Source organism: Homo sapiens, chromosome 4, assembly GCF_000001405.40.
Source record: "Homo sapiens chromosome 4, GRCh38.p14 Primary Assembly".
Lineage (NCBI taxonomy): Eukaryota > Metazoa > Chordata > Mammalia > Primates > Hominidae > Homo > Homo sapiens.
The window spans coordinates 173019645-173038232 of record NC_000004.12 but is presented as its reverse complement, the minus strand read 5'-3'; the positions used below and the strand labels follow the sequence as shown (position 1 = coordinate 173038232).

Sequence of the window (18588 nt, the reverse complement as noted above, 5' to 3'; positions counted from 1 at the left end):
TAGTGAAGCTACACGGATCTAATACATTTAGGTCAGTTTTTCAAAGAGCACTCTTAAGCTGTTATAGTCATAAAAATTCTAGGTGACCTGCTACATTCTAATTCACTTTGTTCTATACACATGCACTTCTTGCCCCCTCTTCACTATCTGTATTTTTTCCTGTTGTTACCTTTATCAATAGCTCATGTGGGGCTGGGTACCGTGGCTGACGCCTGTGATTCCAGCACTTTGGGAGGCCATGGCGGGCAGATCACATGAGGCCAGGAATTCGAGACCAGTCTGGCCAACATGGTGAAACCCCGTCTCTAATAAAAATATAAAAATTAGCCAGGCGTGGTGGTGCACATCTGTAAATCCAGCTACGTGGGAGGCGGAGGCAGGAGAATCGCTTGAACCCAGGAGGCGGAGGTTGCAGTGAGCCGAGATCAGGCCACTGCACTCCAGCCTGGGAGACAGAGCAAGACTCTGTCTCAAAAAAAAAAAAATGCTCATGTGGACCCTCCAGATGAGCACAATTTCCCCCTCAAAACACATAACTTCATGAGAGTTAAGAAATGAGAAAAGGAGTAGGACATGTTTCTATTCTCTTTTCTTCCCTAGCTTGTGTACCTCAGTATGCATGCAAATGCCAAACCAGACTTTCTGAACATTTTATTTTTTCAAACATTATTTTCTGAACCATCAACTGATCATATTTTTCCAAATCCCATATTGGAACACATGCTCTGAGAAATACAGGTGTACTCCTGGGCTGAACCAAGTCGAGTATGCAAATATACCACTACCCTGAACCATCCAGAATGTTTTCTGTTCTTGTACTTCATGTTCTCATAAAAGTTGAAAAATTGGATTCCCTTCATCTGTCTATGTCTGAGAAGCTTCATCAGTAAAATGAGGTGGGGGGGATTAGATAAATCTCTGGAGCCTCTCCTAGTCATAAAATTGAATGAGCATTTTATTCCAAAGGTCACTAGTGACAGAGACAAATGACGAGGTGTCAAACTAGAGACCATCCACAGTGATCAGTAGATCCACAGACTAATTGTTCCCTGGTTGGAGACAGAGCTCTGCTCACCCTTGTCTTGGGAGTGCTCAGCAAGTCCCGGAGGTGAAGCTTCTCAAAGCACCCTCTGCCTTGCCCATAGCAAGCATTTTCCACTTTTGACCTTGGGGCTAAGCTACATCATTGCCATCTTTACGTTTCTACTCAGCTGAGCTTGTGAATCACTAATTGTCTTTCCTGGTGCTTTTCCTGGTTGGACTTAAGTCAGTGGATCAAGTAATTGTCTTTTGAATGTGGTCTTTGGTTCTATGACAGCCTTTCCCTCCTCTGCCCTTCACCTCAGTGGTCACAGCATTGATGGCTGTAACAGAACTGAACACAGTTTTTTTTGTGGAATAGACTTCTGAGTGTTTCGGCAAGTCTGCTGTTCTAAAACAACCCTCCCTAAAGGACGATAGAAGATGTCCTTTCTGTGCTTTTAACTAGGTTGTTCTTTGTCCAGTCCTGGAGGATGGCATGGCCTGTGCTCTGGCTATTCACAGTGTAATCCAGCAGTGCATTTCCCTTTACTCCTCCCACTTTTCCTGGATGCCTACTCCATCTATTTTTGTGTTTTTCTGTTTGTTTTGGTTTTGTTTTGTTTTGCCTGAGAAAATTAGAAATCCTTGAGAGGAAATGCAAAAGTTTGAATCCAGGACTACTTCCTAATCAATGCTCAATGCCAGTCGATCGGTCCACCCTTGGCAAGTGTAGGTGTGCCTTTCCAGGTAGCTCATTGAAAGGGGCACTTCTTTGTAGCAGGCCCGTGGACTTGATTGGCATGTGTGTGACACTTTGTGGCACTCATGGGTTTGTGCTAGACTTTATTAGGTTCCATAGTCCTGTAGGCTCTGAACTCTAAAAGAATGTGTGAGTTACAGAAAAGATTCCACACTGGTCATAAAAGAACCAAATGCTAAAGATGCAAAGATAGTAAAATAGGTATATGAGTCCATTATATATAGGAAGGTGATTCCAAGAATGAAACTACCACATAGGGGGCGGAGAGACAACAGTCATGGGGAAAGTGCTTGGATTTGTGGCGTAGGGGATTCATCAAATTTCAGTCCTGCTATGTAATCTTGGACAACTTGTTTAATTTTCTGAACCTCAGGTTACTTATCTGTAACATGTAAATGACAGTATGCCTCACATATTTATTTTGAGGATAAAAAGAGTTAATAGATATAAAATCACTGGCATAGTGTCCTGCCTATAAGTAAATAACTAAGTAATAGTGATTCCTCCCTCCCTTTCCACTACTTTGTTTTCAGTCAGGGAGCATCCCTAGTTCTAAAAATCAGAATGTACCAACCATCTGGTCTGAGACCAGCTATTCGACACCAAATTGTGTTTTCTGAAGTCCTGGCAAAATAGAATTTTCAAAAGTTAGCCTCTGCCTCAACTGGTTATCTAAATTGATGCAATAGTACCTCCCATTTTAACCGAAAGGATTTATGGAGAGAAGGTATCTATGGCTCTGAAATGAGCTCTTCTGTGCAATTATGATCAGATCTTGTATCTGATCTATGTGTTTAGGTCCTTTGCCTAGAAGATAACATTAATCACATCAGTTGAGTTTGACAAATATTTATGAAGTGACTTTTATTTTCTGGTGTGTATGAGGAGAGAGCATGGAAAGATAACCTAAGAGGCACCAACTGACCCACGACATAGGGGAGACCAATAGGTAAACAAGAAATGTTTGTAGTAGGCCAGGCGCGGTGGCTCATGCCTGTAATCCCAGCACTTTGGGAGGCCAAGGCGGGCGGATCACCTGAGGTCAGAAGTTCGAGACCAGCCTGAGCAACATGGGGAAATCCCGTCTGTACTAAAAATACAAAATTAGCTGGGCCTGGTGGTACATGCCTGTAATCCCAACTACTCGGGAGGCTGAAGCAGGACAATTGCTTGAACCTGGGAGGCGGAGGTTGCGGTGAGCCGAGATTGCGCCATTGCACTCCAGCCCAGGCAACAAGAGCGAAACTGCAACTCAAAAAAAAAAAAAAAGAGCATGGCACATGTATACATATGTAACAAACCTGCATGTTGTGCACATGTACCCTAGAACTTAAAGTATAATAAAAAAAAAAAGAAATGTTTGTAGTAAAAAAGTGTCAATGAGATTGTAGATGAGGGTGAGTAGGATATGAATTAGGTTGTTCTAGATTTAAGGAAGAACATATGAAAAAATATATAAAATAATATATATACTTATGCATTCAACTTATTCAACAAAAAATATATTGGGCACCTGCTATTTGCCAGGCACTATTTTAGGTGCTTGGAATATAAACTTAAAGAGACAAAAATCCCTGCCCTCCTGGAGCTTCTTTTCCAGAGGTAGGGGTGAGGTTGGGGCAGTGGGGGCACAGACAATGAGCAATGAACATAGTATGTAAACACATAGCCTGTTCAGAGGTGACATGAAAAAAATCAAGGCGGTCAGAAGGACCTGGAGTGCCAGGGGTGGGGCCAGTGTGAACATTGAATTGAGTGGCCAGGGAAAATCTCACTGAGAAGGTAACATCTGAGGAGTCTCAAAGAAGGTAAGCTAATTAACCATGCAAAGAGTCTCAGACCTTCCCACCCAGAGGGAATGGCCAGGGTCTGGGCCCTAAGCAGCTATGCACCCTGGTGGTTAGAGAACAATGAGGAAGCCAGAGTGAGGAGATGTTGTCAGAGGTGATGGAGGTTGGGTCTTGTGCCACAGACCAGCAAGTCATATGGTATAGCTGGAGCAAGGGGAAAAAGTCCAGACGAGGATATCCAAGAGGTAGGCAGGGGCTACATCATGATGAGATGGTGGTACAGTGCTAAGGATTGACTTCTCATGAAAGTATCTCGGAATGGTCATTGGGAGATTTGAACAAGAGTCACAGGGTCTATAGTTAGGGTGGCAGTGAGGAAGATGGAGGAGGGATGGAAAGGCATTGGACTACAGTAAGAGAGAACCACCAGAGGCTACCGCAATGATTCAGATTTCAGCTGATGCAAAAACGAGACCAATGGGGATGAGTTGGGGGTGACCCAGGGAGTGATCTGAGAAGTGAAATGCATTGGGCATTCTGATTAATGAGATGTGGAGGTTGAGGTAGAGGGAGGAGGTGGATGTCTAGAGGAAAAGCTGTATTCAGGCAAGAAATGCAGAAAGAGAAACAGGATTGGTGTGGGAATGATAATGAGTTCAGTTTTAGGTATGACGAGTTGGAGATGCTTACGAGACATCAAAGTTTAGATGCCCAGTGAGCAGTTAGATATAGACTGGATCTCAGGGTAGCTCCTCTGTGTCAAGTTGGGAGACTCGAGTTACCCCCTCCTATCAATTTCCATGTAAGTAGAAAGATTCATTTTAAGAGTATACATTGGAAGAGGATGTTTCTGTAAGAGAGAACTCCTTCCTGTCCAAAGCCTTTTGTGTCTAATATGGCTATGAGGGAATGAAGGCTTGGAATTAAGAAACCAGTTTTAATCCTAGTTTTATCTCTGACAATAACCTTTTGTGGTCACTTAGTTTGTCAGTGATTCAGGGTTTCCATCTGTAAAGTGAATGGAGTGGGCAGGAGGGGAGTGGGATGAGACAGGGAATTAAAAGATCTGCTTTCCCACCTCTTAGGGTTGTGCAGAAGAACAAGGTTGATATTTGACTATCCTTTGAGCCATCTGGAAGAAGGACAAATCAAGGAGGCTTTTTCTGCCTATTTTTACTGTTGGCATCTGAGAGAACGCAAATAACACCTTGATAGGCATAAAAGGGACAAAGCAGTCTTTTTGTCTACCCTTTTCCATTTTTTTTTTTTTTTTTGACAGCTAGAATTCCTCACTGGAGGAGAAAATTGGTCTTCCTGCATCAGTGGTTAATTTGGCCAATCAGAAATAATGTTTCTTGGCTGGGCACAGTGGCTCATGCCTGTAATCCCAGCACCTTGGGAGGCCGAGGCGGGTGGAACTCCTGAGGTCCAGGAGTTTGAGACCAGACTGGCCAACATAGTGAAACCCCATCTCTACTAAAAAACACTAAAGTTAGCTGGGCATGGTGGCGCATGCCTGTAATCCCAGCTACTTGGGAAGCTGAGGCACCAGAATCACTTGAACCCAGGAGGAGGAGGTTGCAGTGAGCTGAGATCACGCCACTGCACTCTAGCCTGGGCGACAGAGCGAGACTCCGTCTCAAAAAAAAAAGAAAAGAAATAATGTTTCTTAATGCCCTGACAGAGCCCCTTGGTGTGAGTGCTGAGACGGTGCTGGCTACAGCAAACCTTCAAACCCTCCTTCTGCTCTTCTCACCAGCATTTTTGGGCTGTGGTCCAGTGATGTGCACAATCTATCCTCAATTCTCCTGAGAGCAGCCGGGATCATGAAAAAAAAAAATCAATCCTGATGTGTTAGATGCCTGCTCTGCAATCCATTCAAACACTTCACACTCTCTTAGCTAAATTCTTAGCATGACCTACAAGGTCTTGTGTAGTCCTGCTTCTACAGATGTCTGGCCTTTTTTATATTTTTGAGACAGGGTCTCACTTTGTTGCCCAGGCTGAAGCACAGTGGCGCCACCTTGGCTCACTGCAGCCTCGACATCCCAGGCTCAAACAATCGTTCCCTCTCAGCCTGAGTAGCTGGGACCACATGCGTGCTGCCACCACACACAGCTAATTTTTGTATTTTTTTGTAGAGATGGGGTTTTGCCATGTTGCCCAGGCTGGGATGTCTGACCGTATATAACTTTTTTTTTTTTTTTTTGAGACGGAGTCTCGCTCTGTCGCCGAGGCTGGAGTGCAGTGGCACGATCTCGGCTCACTGCAAGCTCCGCCTCCCGGGTTCACGCCATTCTCCTGCCTCAGCCTCCCGAGTAGCTGGGACTACAGTCATCCGCCACCACGCCCGGCTAATTCTTTTTGTATTTTTAGTAGAGACGGGGTTTCACCGTGTTAGCCAGGATGGTCTTGATCTCCTGACCTCGTGATCCACCCGCCTCGGCCTCCCAAAGTGCTGGGATTACAGGCGTGAGCCACAGCGCCCAGCCCTTGTATTACTTTTAATGGTAAAAACTGCAATGACTTTTGCACCAACCTAATAGTTCATTTTCTGTTGCACGTATGCATTTCAACTGGCTTCTTTCTGTTCTGAGAAAACCAATATCTTGCTTATCTCAGGGCCTTGCACAAGTTGATCCAGATGTCTGTGGTCTTTTTCTCCATCACTTTCTTTACCTATCTAAAAAGGTAAAAGTCTCCATCTTTTCGGTCTCCATTTAGAAGTTAGTTTGTCAGAGAAGGCTTCTTCACCCTTCTGATCTGGATAGTGCCCAGTGTTTTGTGTTCTCATATTATCCTGTACACTTCCTTTAAGTAGTATTTGTCCGCTTCCCCTCTGTACTGAAATCTCCATGAGTAGAATAAGCCCGTAAGTTTTGCACCTTGTTTCCGTCTATCCATATCTCTTTAGCTCCCCTCAGTAAACCTGCATGAAGTCATGTGAACATAATAGCTACTATTTGTCAAATGTGTATCTAGGCATCAAGCAGTGCTAAGTATTCTACCCAGAGTTTCTCTCTCTCTCTCTTTTTTTTTTCCCTACCTAAACCCACTTAAGCAACCTGAAGAGATAGTGAATGTGGACAAACAGGAAGCTAGATTCACTTATTCATTCATTCAGTGAATTTGAATTAAGTACCTATTATGTGCCACAGAGTGTTTTAGATGCCGGAAAGAGTGCACGAAAGAAAGCAGAGAAAAATTCCTGCTCTCATGAAATTGATATTCTAAGATTTAGCTATAACTAAATAGTTAAAATAGTACAGAAATGTACAGTGTAGAAATATGACTAGTTAGCCCATCTATTTCTGTATGCAAATCTATTTGGAGAGCGAAAATCAAATCAGAAGTTATCTTGCTGAATGCATGGTATAGTAGCGGCTAACATCAATTGAACTCTTGTTATGTGCTATGCTCTAGGTGCACTTAAATTTTTTTTAATCATCAGAATAACCTGCTAAGGCACATACTAAAGTAGATAATAAAGGGAATTATTATTCCCATTTTATAAATGAAGAAACAGAAATTCATAGTAAGAAAGTTGCCCAAGGTCCCAAAGCCAGCATCCACAGTGGGGCCAGTGACTATTATGAGGCCCTGCAGGAGCCAGAGCCTGTGCTCTCTCTCTCTCTCTCTCTCTCTTTTCTTTTCTTGAGACAGGATCTTGCTGGGTCACCCAGGCTGGAGTGCAGGAGTGCAGTGGCATGACTCACTGTAGCCTAGTCCTTCCAGGTTCATGTGATCCTCCTGCCTCAGCCTCCCAAATAGCTGGGACCACAGGTCTGTGCCACTATGCCCAGCTTTTTTTTTTTTTTTTTTGGTAGAGACAGGTTTTCACCATGTTGCCCATGCTGATCTTGAGCTCCTGGGCTCTAATGATCTGTCTTGGCCTCTCAAATGCCTCGGCCTCCCAAAATGCTAGGATTAGGGATGAAACGTAACTCAGAGGTTAAGAACACAGACCGGGCACAGAGTCTTTGAGTTATGTTTCATCTCTTTTCTTGGCTGAGCCAACTACCAGTCCTGCTCCCACCCCGCACCTGCTTGGTAGGAAAGAATTGTCCTGATCAACAAACACTAATTTGATTTTTTCATAGTTCCTATTAACAAGATTCTTTTCTGTTTGACAGTCTAGATCTGGGCAGGCGTTCAGTTCACAAAGACTTTCTCTTTACGGAAGAGCCCCAGGAGAGTTGTAACAGAGCCTTTCTATTTCGGAGTGATCAGAGAATGGCAGTTAAGTATGTTAGGTAATCAGTAGGAATATTGCTAAGTTGAAATGGCAAAAGTTAGAAGGTCATAACAACCTAAGTGATTTCAGCTGGGTTAGACATACAGCTAAAAACAGGATGGGAAGATAGAATTAATTATTGAAAAGGCAGCTTCATTGCTGGGGCGAATGTATAGTCCTCCTGAGAGTTAGCCTAATTCTTCTTTGAAAAGGTAACTGAATTTTCAATTTGCACTGAAATTTTCTGCATAAGAATCACAACTTCTTAGGATAACATAAGTCCTCTGTTACCAAAAGGGGTATGTTGCAGACATTGGGCATCTGGTTTTCAGCAAGATGTTTGAAGAGTCCAATTTTGTTTTCTTATGGGCAAGCTGGAGAACGGTGGTCTAGAAGATAATTTTACATGAATTTTTATCTGGTTGAGTAACTTCCTCCAAATGATGCTCATTAATGGATTTTGTTACCTCTGCTGTATGATAGAGGGCTCAGTGCTTGACTTTGCACTGGGATCAACAATTTAGATGAAGGCATGAATGGATGCTGATCCAATCTGTGGATGAAACAAATTATAGTTCAATTGCTATTAAGTTGAATCAAAATGTTTAAATCCAGGTTGGGATAATTATAATAGGATAGAGTTTAATGGAAAAAAGTGGATAGCAACATAATGTAAAAGATGACCTGTACAGATATAAGATTGGAGAGATATGTCTGTTTAGCAAAGCAAGAGAAAAAGACTGAGATTTTTTTTCTCCAGTACTGAAAGCTCATTAAGAAGCTGAGTGTGTGAAGTTAAGGCAGGAAATCAATCAACTCAGGCTAAATTAACAGAGACATTGCTCACAGCAAAGCATGCTAGAAGCTCATAACAAAAGGTGCTAGAAACTTATTCTACTTTCTTTGTTGACAACATTCTTACAATATTGTGTTCTGGGAATCATGTTACTCTCTAAGACTATCTGCAGTACTTTAGGGGTGAGTGTCCAGGAGATGGAGGTGGGTTCAAATTAAGTCATATGGAGAGCAGTGGCAGGAAATTGGGCCATTTAATTGGATTAAAAACCAGGCAGGTATTTGTTCAAATATTTGGGATCTGTCTTGAGTAAAATGAATTAAATATAATCTGTGTGGTAATCAAAGGCCAGGGAAGAGCTTTCTGGCAATTAGGACTGACCTGGGAGAGTGTGACTGCCCAACCTCTGACCACATGTCCAGGATTTTTTAGTGACTTCATTTATCAGAACCAGAGTTGAATTACATGACTTTTAAGTTAAACTTGTTATATACACTTTCCTTATTTTTTGGTCCCAAATCAATACCTGTCCAGAATGATTTAAAATAACAACCTCGAGCCCTTCTATCTGGCATCTTTGTGGACTGGTACATCCTCATTTTATGAACTGAGAGGCCAAAACCTGGCATATATCATAAGTTAACAACAAATAGTCAAATGTAGGCAGATGCCAAAAATTCCACCCACTCACTTTTTAAATGAATGGAATGGTTACACTGTTATCAATTTAGCCTGGCAGGTGCCTTCTTACCTGTACTTCCTGTTTGATGCTATTTGCAAGTCCTTTATTATGAAAGTTAAATTATAAGAACCCCCAGAGAGCAACTAAAGAAAGTAATTTTAAATCTTTTATTTTTGGTCGTTGGGAGGTTGCATATGTAGTTTTGAGACAAATAAATGTGTTAAGTTTTATCCAGCACAGGTTGGGGTTTATGAAGGCAGGGCTCATATCAATAATTGAACTAGTGGTTCTTTAAGCCAGTCAATGAATGCTTATTTAGGAACTTCATATATTAGGTATTAGGCAGGCCATATAGACATTTTTTAAAAAGTTCTTGCCCTCAGGTAGTTGGCGGGGGTGAGGGGGCTAAGTATGTATAATATACAGTGTTTTAAGTAGAAAGAAGGAAACAAAATGCTATAGGAGTACAGAAAGAGGGGGAAATTCCAACTAGAGCAAAAGGGAGGAGTAGATTAAAGAAAGAAAGTAAAAATTAGAGCTACAAAAGTGATTCTCCATCTGACTGTCTATTAGAATCTCTCGGGACCTTTCAAAGAATATCAATACCCAGGCTTCACCTTCTAGAGAGCCTCAGTCAGTCTATCCTCAGGCGAGTACATTGCCTTAATAATACACCTTTGTAATGTTTTGATACCTGGTGCTTTTATAATGTTTTAGTACTTTTTTTTCCTTCTTCAAGATTTTCTTAGCTATTCTTGTCCCTTACATTTTCCATGTAAATTTTGGAATCAGGTTATCAATTTCCACAAATAAGCCTCCTGAGATTTGTTTGGTTTTGCATTAAATGTTTGGATCATTTAAAAACTGACATCTTCACAATATTGAGACATAATCCTTGAACATGATGGATCCCTCTATAGTTTTTAAGATTTTTCTTAGTGATGCTTTGTAGTTTTCTGCATAAAAGTCTTTCACATCTTTGCCGTGATTTATTCCTATTTTGTGCTTTTCACAGTGACCAAATGGAATCACTTTTAAACTTCATTTTCTATTTTTTGTTGCTAGTATATAAACAATTCATTTTCATCTTGGGCCTATGCTAATTGTATCTATTCATTTTTAAAATACTTCAGCTGCATAATCTTTTGGATTTTCTAAATACCCTAACATGACATCTACGAATGGACTGTTTTATTTCTTCCTTTCCAATTCTTATTCCTTTAAAGGTCTATATCTTGCCTGATTACACTGATTAGATATCCTATAAAAGGTTGAAAAACATGATTATAGTCAACATTCTATTTTATTCCCCATCTCTGGAGGAGAGCTTTAACATTTCACCACTAAGAGTGATGGTAGTTGTGGGTTTTTGGCTATACTTCCTATTAGATTAATTTAGTTTATTTTATTAGCTTACTTTCTGTATGGCTAAGACTATTTAGTTACATGGTAAAAACTTGAGGATTTAACAATGGACCAGTGTATATAAGACCTCTTGACTTACAATAAAAGCGTCACTTCAGTGCAGTGGGAAAAAATGGTCTTTTAAATAAATGGTGATTGATCAATAGCATGTCTCTATCAATATATATCTATATCTATTTCTATCTCTGTATATGAATCAACCCTTATCTTACATTATACACATAAAAATATTTCAGGGAGGGCTGGGCGCGGTGGCTCACGCCTGTAATCCCAGCACATTGGGAGGTAGAGGTGGGCGGGATCATGAGGTCAGGAGTTCGAGACCAGCCTGGCCAACGTGGTGAAACCCCGTCTCTACTAAAAATACAAAAAGTAGCTGGGTGGCATGTGCCTGTAATCCTAGCTACTTGGGGAGGCTGAGGAAGGAGTCTCGCTTGAACCCGGGAGGTGGAGATTGCTGGGAGCCAAGATCACACCACTGCACTCCAGCTTGGCTGACAGAGCGAAAGTCCGTCTCAAAAAATTATATATATCTATATAGATATACAGATATATCAGGGAATTATAAACCGAAATGTAGAACATTAAGCAATAAAATTTCCAAAGATGACTTGGAAGACTAACTACATGAAGGCCAGGATTTCCTAAACAGAACACAAAACCCACGAATCATAAATAATAGCTTTCATTAAGACACTCCACTAAACAGAAAAAAGACAAGACACCAACAAGAATAAGATATTGCAATGCATACATCCAATGAGGCACTTATATATAGAAAAAATCCCTAAAAATCTGTGTGAAAAAGCCAGACAGCCCATGTTTTGAAAATGGGCAAAAGACTCAAGTAGGTGCTGCACAAATAAGATATCCAAAATGGCTAACAAACATATCACTTTACAATCACAGAATAAAAAAGAAAAAGAAACTGACAATACCAAGTGTTGGTGAGGATGCAGAGCACCTGGATTCTTGGCAGTGCCTGTACCCTGAGCATGGCCCTTCAGGCCTTTCCATTTCAGTGCATGCTGGCCCGGATGTCACTGCATCTCTCTGCTTAAGGACTTTCTCCGGCCTTAAGAATGGTTCTGTCTGTAAGAGCAGCAGGCCAGAGGTATCAAGGGAGTTGGGGTATTTATACACCATTCCAGTCAATCTTTGGTCAGGAACCTGACCAAAAAATTGACTCCCTGATGTGTGTTCTATATACCATTTCCAGAGATCTTCAGTAGGATTGAGTTCTAATTGCCTGCGGTGGTACTTGCTTGATAATGCACCCTTTATTGGCTCTGATATCTCCTCCATTTCACTTCCTCACTCCCTGTCAAGAATTTTTGGGGCTATATCCCAAATAAACCATGTGCATTAAAATTCTTACTTTAGGTTGTATATATGGGGAAACCCAAATTAAGACATATGCTATAATCTAATAAAATGTTTACTTAAAATGAAAAGGGCATGGGAGATAGCGCTCAATTTTGGAGGGATAACAACTGTCAATATTGCCTAGGAGAGATTGCTTTAATGATGTGGTATATTAGGATATACCTTGCCATGATGATCAGTGTAAAAAGTGCATTGTCACCAACACAGATGGAAATCTTATGATCAGAAACTGTGCTAGAAGTTTTCCATAGTTTATCTCACTCAGTTATTATCATTATTATGTTGGTGAAGCACTTGAAAGTCATAAAAGCAAAACAACTATTCAAGATCCCCTTACAATTTCAGGATGAATTGGGGTGTATTAAGCCTGAATAACTCTAAGGGCTGATGGTCGGCTGTTATGTTGGCCAGGTTGTGAAGGATCCAGATGAGTATTGAGAGGCTAAAGCACTCTATCTTCTACTCAATGAGAAACCAAATGAAGTCATGAAACAGAGGAATACCATGACCAGGTTTTGTGAAATCTCCCTCTGGCTTCAGGGTGGAAGATGGGGAAGGGGAAGGGGAAAGACAGGAAGCAGGGCAGCCCTTTAGGAAGCCATTGCAATAACCCAGGGGTAAGATGTGAAGACTGAACCAGGCAGGGGCTGGCTATAGAAATGGCAAAGAGCGGGTGGATTTCAGAGTTATTGGCTGATGGGGGCAGGTGACAAGTCTTAGTGACCAATGACTGGGGATGGAAGTGGGTGACAAATCTTAGTGACCAATGGGGATTGAAGAAGAGGAAAGACAGTTTCCTGTTTGATGCTGGGTGAGGACAAATATTTTTACTGAGGTTGCCTCAACAATTCACTGTTCTTGTAACAGGGGTCCCCCTGGTGGTAAAAGAAAACCAGGAACAGGATTCCTCTTCCTGGGTGCCTGTTATTGTAGGAAACAGCTGTTCAACTGAACATAGCCCCAGCATCATAGAATAAGGATGCTTTTCTCCTTTTGTGGTGGCAAAGAGCCACATCTAAAAATAACTAAAAGCGGAATGAGAGTTGCTGAAACCAGGAAGCAAGGTCCGAAAACAACTTTCATCCACCCAAGCAAGGTGGCTTCTGGCCACCTTCTCTCTCCAAGATATCTCCATGTAGCTGGGAGGGAGGGGTTGGCTGGTATCAGTGACACTGAATCCAAGGCATTGGGGAACTCTCCTAGGAAATATTGATCTTATTCCTTAAGAGCATGGCACTTATAAAAAGTGGGAGTTCCAGGCTGGGCACGGTGGCTTGTGCCTGTAATCCCAGCATTTTGGGTGGCTAAGGTGGGCGGATCCCCTGAGGTCAGGAGTTCGAGACCAGCGTGGTCAACATGGTGAAACCCTGTCTCTACTAAAAATACAAAATTATCTGGGCATGGTGGTCATGCCTGTGGTCCTGGCTACTTGGGAGGCTGAGGCAGGAGAATCGCCTGAACCTGGGAAAGGAGGTTGCAGTGAGCCGAGATCACGCCATTGACCCCAGCCTGGGCAACAAGAGCAAAACTCCGTCTCAAAAAACAAACAAAAACATCTAAAACTGCCAGAAGCCCCCAGAGCCAAGTACTGCATCCAAATAGATAAGGTAACACACCAGAGAGATTTCTCTTTGTGCTTTTTCTCTTTATGCCTTAGGCATAGCCCTTGGAAAAAACAAGAGGAATTTTCTAAAACAGGTGTGTCTGAATAGGCCTGAGTCATCCACCAAGATGTGATATTTCAGAAACTTTCCATTTTGAGCCTTTGCATGTTCCTGATTAAGTATAAATACCTTGCTTGCTATATAAATACACATGGAGTGTAACCTTTTGCTAAGTAATGCAATACCAACAGCTACAAAAAGCTGAGAAGAGAGCCACAGCACAATTGAATCTAGTGGTTTCCTTTCACAAATCCCTTAGGATCCTGGAAAGGTTTAATATTAAAGCTCATAAGAGTTTCCCCTTGAAACCACTGCAGCCAGTTTTTTTTCTCCCCAGGAGCTCTGTGTATTAGTTGTTCTTATCCATCTGTAAACTTTTGTAAGCTCCCTAATAAAAACAATTGCATTTTCTTGGCTTAATTGCATATTATTGAGTGGTTGGTGTGTCATGCTATAAATGTACAGTAATAAGAAATGTTCTGTTCATTAGGAACCACTAACATACTAAGCAAATGGCCAGTCAGCTATTTTATCGATGTGCGCAGAAAGTAACTCTTTAGATGTCAGAATATAATCATTAAAAAAAACCTTACTTTATTGCACCACACACAGGCTGTATCATGTTGAATAGCAAAATAGTTTGATAAGATGAATCATTTATTATACATTTCATAAAGAAAACGGCGAGGTTTTACTATTGCAGTGATATTCCCCCAGCTTCATTTTTAATCAGATACCATCTTCTGAGCTCCTTTCATTCTAGATTGTTTTGTAGAAGGATATAACAACTGATTTTTTTTTGCTTTTTTTGGGATGGAGTTTCGCTCTTGTCGCCCAGGCTGGAGTGCAGTGCAATGGTGTGATCTTGGCTCACTGCAACTTCTGCCTCCCAGGATCAGGCAATTCTCCTGCCTCAGCCTCCCGAGTAGCTGGGACTATAGGCATGCACCAACATGCCTGGCTAATTTTGTATTTTTTAGTCCAGATGGGGTTTCACCATGTTGGCCAGGCTTGTCTTGAACTCCTGACCTCAGGTGATCTGCCCGCCTCTCCTCCCAAAGTGTTGGGATGACAAGCGTGAGCTACTGTGCTCGGCTCAACTGATGTTTTGTAATTTTGCTAGACACAGCCACAACCTGCCAGGTGTTTGGGTGGGGGTGGGATGCAGAATAAACTTATACAAACAAGTCCACCTTTGGATGAGTATAGTTTTAGGAGCTCATCTCTAAGAGGTGGAAACCAGAATGCTTATTAAGTAAGGCAACAAGTAACATAACCAGTCCTCCCTCTCCCCACACTGACTCTCCACCACTTCTCTCCTTTAGCTTTCTGTAATTTGGGGGGACACTGACCTTGCCTCAGCCACAGGATGGCCAAGTTCATGAATAAAGTGGGGGATATTCCATTTTCCTTATAGCCTGAGGCAAGGCTGGCCTCAGAGTGTGAAAAAGCAAACAGAAGGCATCTTATCCCTGGCTGAGAAGGCCCCAGCAGGTCCATGGATTTGAGAGGGCAGAATGGAGCTTATGGAGTAATTGCTAATTGACAGCCAAGTTCTATCCCCAAAAGCAAAGAATTTGAAAAGCAATTTTGTAAAGTATTCTAAAAAGTTGTCAAAAGGAAACAATAAAAATATTTTCAAACAATAACTTAATTGCTCTTTATTTTATTAACTCAATAAAATGTGACTTTATATATGTTTTTGAATTTTTCCTACCATTCACTGTTAACTTTATAATTTTTGAAACTTTTAAATTCCCCAAGTAAATTCTTCTTTGCTACATTTGGGCAGGATTTTGGTGAAAATGTAAATGGGTCACTTTTTGTATAAGGATTGCAGCAATTATATCTACATAGATGTATAAATATTTGTGTAAACATCATTGTCTTAACCCAGACAGGTCCCAAGCAAGTGAGCCTGAGATACATAAAAAATGAATGGATGCCACAATCTGTGTGTATGTGTGTTGTGAATGGTGATGTTAAAAATTATGTATGCGTGGTTTTGCTTATTGGATATGTGGTTCCTCCTTTTGGGAGTGTTCTGAGTTAAACCTAGACCCATCCCTTGTTCTGGCTCAAAGCCATTTTTCAATCATAACTGATTGTGATGGCCACACATATAACAAGCGAAGCCAAAAGCTTGCCCCTTTCTACACACACGATTTTTCCCTTCACCTTTGCTGGTGATCTCCAGATGTGTGAGCCAAATATGTGTATGTATGACTAGGTAAAACTTTCAAAACTTCCTTCCTTCCTTCCTTCCTTCCTTCCTTCCTTCCTCCCTCCCTCCCTCTCTCCCTTCCTGCCTTCCTGCCTTCTCTCTCTCTTTTCCTTCCTTCTTTCCTTCCTTCCTTCCTTCTTTCCTTCCTTCCTTCCTTCTTTCCTTCCTTCCTTCCTTCCTTCCTTCCTTCCTTCCTTCCTTCCTTCCTTCCTTCCTTCTTTCCTTCCTTCCTTTTCTCTCTCTCTCTTTCTTTTCTTAACAGAGTCTTGCCCTGTCACCCAGGCTGGAGTGTAGTGGCACGATCTTGGCTCACTGCAATCTCCCCCTCCCATGCTCAAAGTGATTCTCCTGCCTCAGCCTCCTGAGTAGCTGGGATTACAGGCACCCATCACTACGCCTGACTTTTTTTTGTATTTTCAGTAGAGATGGGGTTTCGCTATGTTGGTCAGGCTGGTCTCAAACTCCAACCTCAGGTGATCTGCCCACCTCGACCTCCCAGAGTGCCAGGATTACAGGTGTGAGTGACTGCGCCAGGCCTAAAACGGTGTGTTTTCAAAGAAAACTGAGTAAGAATAACTTAAACCACAGTAATTTGAGAATGACCACAGTGGACTGACTCTTACCTTCCGGTATCCCCAGAGCTGGTTCCCCTTCATGCCATGACAGTCATAGAGTGTAACGGGGCTGTTGTGTGAGATCGCATCAAAGCAGAATTTCCGGGTATGCAGTGGCTCACCGGGTCGAATATCTTCTCTCCATCCAAAGGTAAAAAGCTAGCAAAGCAACAGTAGCAGAAAAGCTGCAGTGAGTTTGTTTTGGAGAGAAGATGCAAGGGCGGGGGAAGGTATGTCTTTTAGCAATGTAGAACTCCTGCTTTGTGATCTGCCAAAAAGAGCTAAGTCTCAGCCTAACAGAGGTGTTGGAAAAGGCACGTGTCATAAAGTGCTGTAGCAGTAACAGCTGCACTTTTGGTCCAGGCTGCCAAAAAACACAAATGAAGAGTTTCCAATCAGGTACCAGAGAAAATACAGAGGATGGTAGAAAAAGAGATGCAGGGAGGGGCATGGAAGAAGGAGATTGAAGGAGAACGAGTAAGAGGACAGAGGGAGGAAAGACAGAGGGGAGAGGGATGAGGGTCAGAGAGAGAAATAAAGTCTTTTTTTGTTTGTTTGTTTTCAGACAGAGTCTCACCCTGTCTCCCAGGCTGGAGTGCAGTGGTGCGATCTCGGCTCACTGCATCCTCCACCTCCCAGGTTCAAGCGATTCTCCTGCCTCAGCCTCCCGAGTAGCTGGGATTACAGGCGCACGCCACCACGCCTGGCTAATTTTTGTATTTTTAGTAGAGACGGGGTTTCACCATGTTGGCTAGGCTAGTCTCAAACTCCTGACCTCAGGTGATTTGCCCGCCTTGGCTTCCCAAAGTGCTGGGATTACAGGCATGAGCCACTGTGCCTGGCCAGAAAGTCCTTAATAACACTCTACGGTCTTTATTTAGCTAAAATGTTACTGGAACAAATCCTACACAGTTTGCCCAAATTTGCAGATTAGCTAAAGAGACAAAGAGTAGAGATGAGCCGAATTGATGCTAGCACCTTGAAAAACCTAATGTAAAGGAAAGCTAAGCTTGATGAAGTGAAGAATGGGCCAATTAATTTCCCTAGGGTTGGTAAGAGTAATTCTGCAGGGCAATGTAGAAAGTTTTAGACTGTAACTCACAGTAAGAAATGCAGCTCATGCACACACACACAGAGACCTCCCTTGATTCCAATAGAAACAGAAGTTTCATGAAATGATATTTACCTTTACTGAGTTTAATTGACTCTGATATTCCATCCAACACATTCCTATCCTAGTCCAGCCTCTCCAATTCTATTATGTATCCCATTCTATTATATTATCCCATTCTATCATATTATACCATTCTATTATATCCATCCCATTCTATTATATTAAAAATGTGACTTATGCACTAAGTTGGCTTTACAATGTATTAACAAGCAAACAAGCCACACACCTGTAGGGGAAGAGCATTTGCTTGAGTTATTTGAACTGTACAACAAATAAGGGTATTTGAAAGGTACAGTAGGAGAAATCCTTAAGTGTGAAAATGGACTAGATGAGCCCTGTGATTGCTCCCAATTCTAAAATCCCAGGAAGGTTATGTAATTCTTACAATAGGACTTACGGCAGGCTGGCTGTGTGAAGCCAAACTGTGAATTGCAAAATAAAAAAGAGCTGTCAGGGAAACCCTGTGGATATAAAAGAAAGCACAATGCTGAGCTGTATGCAGATAATACACTATGCACTGACCAGGCCCTCAGTATATTTCAGCTGTTAGGTTCCACCTAGGAAAGGAAATGTAGAGAACCTGGCAAAATTCCAGGGATGGCTAACAAAGATAGTTAAGTGGTGAGGAATCTGAAGACAAATACAAAGAACTGGGTTAAGTGGTCTCAAGAAATGACCTAAACGAGCATGTGAACAGCGACCTTCTCAATCATGGCCACTGCGTACTCTGTTACCCTGGAAGACAGGATAAAAGAGAAGATTTCATATAGAAGAACAAGGGGTTTTTAGAATAGACATTTGAAATAAATTCATGAA

At 41.9% G+C, this 18588-nt stretch overlaps 1 protein-coding gene across 7 annotated transcripts in view; it reads right to left on the bottom strand.

Moving 5' to 3' along the window:
* Positions 1 to 18588, bottom strand: part of GALNTL6 (polypeptide N-acetylgalactosaminyltransferase like 6) — a 1228156-nt gene that overhangs the window by 3327 nt on the left and 1206241 nt on the right. For all 7 annotated transcript variants that reach the window (NM_001034845.3, XM_017008244.3, XM_011531993.3 and 4 more), the window contains one exon: positions 16608 to 16757. In NM_001034845.3, coding sequence (NP_001030017.2) covers positions 16608 to 16757 — 150 coding nt within the window. The remainder of the gene's footprint in view (positions 1 to 16607; positions 16758 to 18588) is intronic.